Source organism: Homo sapiens, chromosome 5, assembly GCF_000001405.40.
Source record: "Homo sapiens chromosome 5, GRCh38.p14 Primary Assembly".
NCBI classification, from domain to species: Eukaryota; Metazoa; Chordata; class Mammalia; order Primates; family Hominidae; genus Homo; species Homo sapiens.
This window is the reverse complement of record NC_000005.10, coordinates 29,785,448-29,793,135: the sequence shown is the minus strand read 5'-3', so window position 1 is coordinate 29,793,135 and position 7,688 is coordinate 29,785,448. Positions and strand designations below refer to the sequence as shown.

Sequence of the window (7,688 nt, the reverse complement as noted above, 5' to 3'; positions counted from 1 at the left end):
ATTGGCACTGAGTTGCTAAGAACAGGACAGAAGTAACAACTTTGTTTCACCATATTTAACTGAAAATCAGTCTATTTGTAGTGATATTTGTTCTTATCTACATTGTGTAACATAAAATTTAGAATATCATATATAAAATTATTAGGATATTGATATTACATCTCTGCTCTTTATTGAAATTACATCCAGTAAACTATTATTCTGATATAACATTGTATCAAGAATATTTTCCATTTTACTGAATATTTTTAAAGCAAGTTATTTAATAACTACAAACACAATTCATCTTATGCAAGTATGTTACTTAAACCATACAGTTATTGCTTGATATTAAATGTTTTTTTAATTGTCAGATAAAAGTGTATGTACTTACTGTGTACATAATGAGCTCTGAAATATACATACATTGCAGAATGATTAGATCTAGATAACTAACACATGCATTACCTCACATAGCTATTATTTTCCTGGTAAGAACACTTAATATTCACTGTTTTAGCATTACCAAGAATACAGTATATTAATAACTATAGTCATTTATTTTATGAGATCAACATTTTAAAATTTCACATATGAGATCTCACTTATGAAGTAGTTCTCTTTCTTTGCCTGGCTTATTTCACTTACCATAGTGTTCTCCAGGTTTGCCCATACTGTAAATGACATAATTTCCTTCTTTTCCTTGGTTGAATAGTATGTAATAGGATTGAATTGTGTATATGACCCACATTTTCTTTGTCCGTTCATCTATGGATACATACTTAGGTTTAGTCCATATCTTGGCTGTTGTAAATAAGGCTGCAATAAACATGAGAGTGCAAATATTTCTTTTATATAATGCTTTTATTTCCTTTGATGTATATCCAGCAGTGGGATTGCAGGATTTTATGGTTGTTCTTTTTATGATTTTCTGAGGAATCCTCATATTGTTTTCTATAACAGAAGTATTAATCTCCATATCCTTCTACAGTGTGCACTGTTTTCCTTTTCTCCACCTTCTTACCAAAATTTATCTTTTGTGTTTTTCATAACAGCCACTCAAACAGATTCATGGTGATATCTCATTGTGAATTTAATTTGCTTTTATCTGATGATTAGTGATGTTGACAATTTTTAAAATAGACTTGTTGACCTTTGTATATTTTCCTTTAAGAAATGTCTATTCAATCCCTATGCCCACTTTTTTAATGGCTTATTTCTTTTCTTGATACTGAGTTGTTTGTGTTCTTTATATGTTTTGGATATTAGCCCCTTATCAGATGTATGGTTTTCAAGTGTGTTATCTCATTCTGTAGGATGTCCCTTTACACTGTTGATCATATTTTTTGCTGTTCAGAAGCTTTTTAGTTTATAAAAAGAGACAAAGCTGTGCAGACACATTTAATTTGGAAAGGAGACAAAGAAGTTCCTTATATAATGATAAAGGGGTTTCAGCAAGACAATATAACAATTGTAAATATTTGTGCACCCAACATTGGAATACCTAAATATATACATCAAGTATTAATAGATCTGAAGGTAGAGATAAAGTGCAATACAATAATAGTAGGAGACTGCAACATCCCGCTATCTGTAATGGACAGGTCATTCAGACAGAAAACCAATAAGAAAACATTAGATTTAAACTACAGACTAAATCAAAGTAACCTAAGAGACAACTACAGAATATTCCATCCAAGAGCAGAAAAATACACATTCCTTTCATCTGCACATGAAACATTCTCCAGGACAGATTATATTTTAGGCCACAAATGAAATCGTACAAAATTTAAAAAGGTTGAACTTACATCAAGTTTCTTTTCTGATTATAATGTTCTGACCATAATGGTATGAAACGAGAAATCAATAACAGGAGAAACATGGAAATTAAACAACATGCTCCTAAATACCCAATGGATAAATAAAGAAATTAAATAGTCTATTCAGCCTCTCAATTAAGGGAATTGAGGTCCACCCCCATTAGCGAGGGCAGTGTGATTTACTCAGTCTACAGAATTCAGTGTTAATGTCATCTAGAAGCAACCTCACAGATACATGCAGAATCATGGTTGGTCAAATGCCAGGGTACTCTATGACCCAGCCAAGTTGACACATAAATTTAACCATCGCATCCACTATGAAATACATTCCTATGACATCGTAATACTGTAGAGTATAGCAACTGTGGTGATGCCTCATTTGTGCCTACAACAGGCCATACTGATGCTCTGTCAGTCTGTCACCTCTGGAAGATAAGTGCGAATCCATGCTGTTGGTCTCCATCTGTGCTACCGGGTCATTCTGTTCCCTAAATCACATGTGTCTTATACTTTCAGGGTGCTAGCCATTTGAAGAGATCAACATGTTATCCTCAATGAAATGGATTCATGTTCTACTCTGCAATATATAGATAGGTCACATCCCTTTGGCTTACATTATGACAGAGGATTTGACATAGTCTGAGGTCAAATTTTATAAAGGTTTATTGTATATTTTAATGAAATAAAATTCTTTGTAATATATTTCTCTCATTGACATAGAAAAGAATGCACATGCCATATCAATGTCCACATCAGGAACCTGGAGCTGTTATCTGCTCTAACAAAGTTACCATCTCTGTCATGGCAGTTGTAATAAGGGAAACTAACTACTGAATTCAGCTTGTAATGATATATAATCATCTTTCAAGATCCATCTGGTTTCTGCAAAGAAAACACTAGATAACCTAAATGAAGGTGAGATGAGGACCACCATCCATACATCTTTTACAGACATAAGGCTGGCATAAATCTGCTAATCTCTGCCATACACACAGGACCAATTTTTTCAGTAATTTGGTCATGGAAGGGGAAATTTCAGGGGCTTACACTTAGCTTTCCCCATACATATATACGATGGAACACTCTTTAGCCATAAAACAATGAAATTCTGTCATTTGTGGCAACAATGGATGAACCTGGATGCTGATGTCTGCTATATTATATATGTTCATCATGGATGAACCTGATGTTAATCTCTGCTATTTTTATATATATTTTTGAGAATTCCCATAACAAAATGTTATCTAACCACAAAACAGAGAAGCAGCAATGAGTTTAACATTTATGTACTTAAAATATACAACATTTATTTATTTCGTTTACTTAAATTATATAATAAACTTGTATAAAATTTGACCTCAGATAATAGAGAGCTTTGTACTTACTACATACACACACACACACACACACACACACACACACACACAGCGTTTATCTTGAAGAGATGTGGGGAAGAGAGTGAAATAATCAGCTTTGAAAGTGAGAATACACTGTTATTAATTTGGACATAAATTTATGCAGAAATAAGGAGATCATTACAACTTTCTTTGGTTTCTGTAATCCCAGTCCCTGATACACCATTATGTGCTGGCTTTTTTTACAGAAAGATAATAGAATAATGAGAAAAATAAAGATCATTTTATAACGAGATATGAAAACTAAAGGGATGAGGTACTCCTTGGTATGGTGACAAAAAAAGCCCTCATGTCTTGCAGCAGGAGTGCATAGAAAGCCAAGCATGAAACGCAATATTTATTGGACTGTGTGATTAACTTCAGAGGAGGTTAAGCCCTCAAGGAAGACAGATTTGTTATGCCAAAGAGAGAGCTTCATTGGGAAAATGTGAGATTCTGCAACAGGATTTAGGTATGCAGGTGACTGTCCTTGGAGGATTGATTGCTCTGTCTCTTCTGAAACATCTAAGCTTGCAGATATATCTCATTTCTCCCTATTAAGAGTGATCAGCTCCATAATCCTGAAAGGCAATATACTCAAAATCTGCCTTCACATCTTCTTTGGACCACCTGGCTTTTACCTAGGTTTAAGTCAGAAAATTAACCAGCTGAAGATGCACTGGGCTTGATAAAGAAAGAACTGTAATTTAAAGACTACAAGCTTAGCTGACAAGTATTGCCAGCAGCCTGGGAAGTGTGAGTGGCACAAGATTAGAAGATTCTTCACGAAAGGGCTGAAATATAAAGTTTGAAAAGAAAGAGTTTATTTAGCTGAGAATACTCTCTGGAGATAAAGGATTTCTCAAGCTGGAAAGAACCTCAGGAGAGCCTGCAAACTACCTAATAAGTTGGCTCTCAGTGGCATGGTATACACAATGGCCAAGCTGAGCAAAATTGAAATGCTTAGAATTGCCGTTTCTGATGATGGATAAAGAGAATAAAAAGTTCAGGGTAGTGGATTTGCTAGCATGGATAAAATATGTAGAGCCTGAAGATGAGCAAGATGATAATGTTATTTGGGAAGGCTGAGAAGACACACGATTTATCAGGGCCACAAGAATGCCCCAGTGAGAAACGTAGCAGCATCACTAAAAAGTTCAGCAGTGGCTCTACCTTGCAGTTCAAGGATGGAGGTAGGAAAGACTGTCAGAAAATTTGTCTTGCTGAAAACAATGAGTTATGAATGGACTTTGAAATAAGAGAGTCTAGGCGGTGGCACTTAACAGATAGTACCCAGGTTGTGTTTAACCACAGATATGTAATGGCAAGCAAAGTTGAATTAGCAGCCCCAGGAACCAAATACTTGGGGACTTATAATGACTTAACAGAATGTGACCTCCCTGGGGACAAAATAGATTGGTGGAAGACAAATACACTATTCAGCTTAAACCAGTGGAAGAAGCCAAGGTTTGTCTATTAGTCCTTTTCATGCAGCTGATAAAGACATACCTGAGACTGGCATGTCTCAGGGTAACTTACAAAAGAACAACAACTTACGAAAGAAAGAGCAACTTACGAAAGAAAGAGCAACTTACAAAAGAAAGAGGTTTATTGGACTTACAGCTCCACATGGCTTGAGAGGCCTCACAATCATGATGGAAGGTGAAAGGCGAGGAGGAACAAGTCATATCTTACATGGATGGTGGCAGGCAACGAGACAGAGAGAGCTTGTGGAGGGAAACTCCCATTTTTAAAACCATCAGATCTCATGAGACTTATTCACTATCACAAGAACAGCATGGGAAAGACCCACCCCCATGATTAAACCATCTCCCACCAGGTCCCTCCCACACCATGTGGGAATTATGGAAGCTACAAGATGAGATTTGGGTGGGGACACAGAACTAAACGATATCAGTTTGGTAACAGGGAATCTGAGGGAGGCCATCTTAAGAAAAATTTCCTTTTACCTTGGATAGTTTTCAGACCTGAGCCATTGAGCAGACCTCACCCATTAAACACAGTTGACTTCTTTCTGAAGTGCAATTATTCTCCAGGACCATAGCACGTATACATAGAAATTATTTCTTCACCATTTACCAAAGGGAAGTAAGACCATACAGTCAGTTAATTGGACATTGGGAAATGGGAGCTACTCACATTTTTCTAATACAGGGTGTAGGGTCTAATAGACATTAAAACATGGATACTTTGAGACATTACCGTAGCTTTCTTATTTGTTGGGAACATATGGGAGCCAGGTGAAAACCAGCTTATATGGACCATATTGATGAACCCTAGACCCTGAGTATTTAATTGTCATTGACATACTTGAAAGTTAGCACAACCTCAAAATTGGGCTCTTGGTAGAAAAGAACTAATATGATAGGGAAAGCTAAGTGAAAGCCCCTGAAATTTCTCCTTCCATGACCAAATTACTGAAAAAAATCAGTCCTGTGTGTATGGCAGGGATTAGCAGATTTATGCCAGCCTTATGTCTGTAAGAGATGTAGGGATGGTGGTCCTCATCTCACCTTCATTTAGATTATCTACTGTTTCCTTTGCAGAAACCAGATGGATCTTGAAAGATGATTATATGTCATTACAAGGTCAATCCAATAGTTAGTTGCCCTGATTAGAACTGCCATGACAGAGATGGCAACTTTGTTAGAGCAGATAACAACTCCAGTTTCCTCGTGTGGGCATTAATATGGCATGTGCATTATCTTCTGTTTCAATGAGAGAAATGTATCACAAAGAACTTTATGTCATTAAAATATACAATAAGCCTTTGTAAAATTTGACCTCAGGCTATGTTAACTCCTCTCTCCTCTGTCATAATGTAAGCCAAAAGGATGTGAACTATCAATATATTGCACAGAGCAGTACATGAATCCATTTCATTGAGGATAACATGTTGATCTCTTCAAATGGCTAGCATCCTGAAAGTATAAGACACATGTGATTTAGAGAACAAAATGACCCGGTAGCAGGGATGGAGATCAATAGCATGGAATCCCACTTACCTTCCAGAGGTGACCAGACTGACAGAGCATCAGTATGGCCTGTTGTAGGCACAAATGAGGCATCACCACAGTTGCTATACTCTACATTATTGCGGTGTCATAGGAATGGATTTCATAGTGGATGTGATGGTTAAATTTATGTGTCAACTTGACTGGGTCATAGAGTACCCTGGCATTTGACCAACCATGATTCTGCATGTATCTGTGAGGATGCTTCTAGATGACATTAACATTGAATTCTGTAGACTGAGTAAAGCACACTGCCCTCGCTAATGGGGGTGGACCTCAATTCCTTTAATTGAGAGCCTGAATAGAACAAAAAAAAAAAAAAGAGAGAGAGAGAACTCTCTTCCTGTCTGACTGCTTGAGCTGGAACATCATTCTTTTTTTTTTTTTTTTTTTTTTTTTTTTTTTTTGAGACGGAGTCTCGCTCTGTCGCCCAGGCCGGACTGCGAACTGCAGTGGCGCAATCTCGGCTCACTGCAAGCTCCGCTTCCCGGGTTCACGCCATTCTCCTGCCTCAGCCTCCCGAGTAGCTGGGACTACAGGCGCCCGCCACCGCGCCCGGCTAATTTTTTGTATTTTTAGTAGAGACGGGGTTTCACCTTGTTAACCAGGATGGTCTCGATCTCCTGACCTCGTGATCCACCTGCCTTGGCCTCCCAAAGTGCTGGGATTACAGGCGTGAGCCACCGCGCCCGGCCTGGAACATCATTCTTTTCCTGACTTCAGAAGAACTGAAACATCCACTCTTCTTGAATCTCTAAACTGCTGATTTTTGGACGGGAACTTTTTTTTTTTTTTTTTTTTTTTTTAGTTTTTATTTTTTTGAGACAGAATCTTGCTCTTTTGCCCGGGCTGTAGTGCATTGTTATAACCATGGTTCACTTGCAGCCTCGGTCTCCTGAGTTGCTGGGACTACACGCACGCACCACCATGCATGGGCCACTGTGCCTGGCCTACACTGGAAATTACACCATTGACTTTCCTGATTCCTAACCTTCAGACTTTGTTAGAGCAGATAACAACTCCAGGTTCCTGGTGTGGACATTGATATGGCATGTGCATTCTTTTCAGACTTGTACTGGGACTACACCATTAGCTTTCTTAGGTCTCCAGCTTGCTGACAGCAAATCTTGGGGCTTGTCAGCCTCAATAACTATGTGAGCCAATAGTGTGTGTGTGTGTGTGTGTGTGTGTGTGTGTGTGTGTGTGTGTGTGTGCGTGAATGACATAAGTCTGATGCAGGAAGACTCAACCTTTCTAACTCTGTATTGTCCTGCATGCTACAGGCCTTGCCTTCCAAAGTGATGACTCACTTTCAATGTTATATATATTTTTTTGATATTGTTTTCTGAGACCTGCTTATTCTGGATTTATTTACTCCTAGCACTTCGACAATCTTTCATAGGATTCCCAGTGTTACCATCTTCTCAGCTTGAATTGTATTGTCAAATGTTTTCCTCTAT

At 37.8% G+C, this 7,688-nt stretch overlaps 1 annotated feature.

The window, feature by feature from the left end:
• Positions 7,207 to 7,407: a silencer, noted in NCBI's record as "peak5214 fragment used in MPRA reporter construct". NCBI's record gives its function as "represses an SCP1 promoter by STARR-seq MPRAs in K562 erythroleukemia cells {active_cell/tissue: K562}" and the evidence as "EXISTENCE:reporter gene assay evidence [ECO:0000049][PMID:32103011]".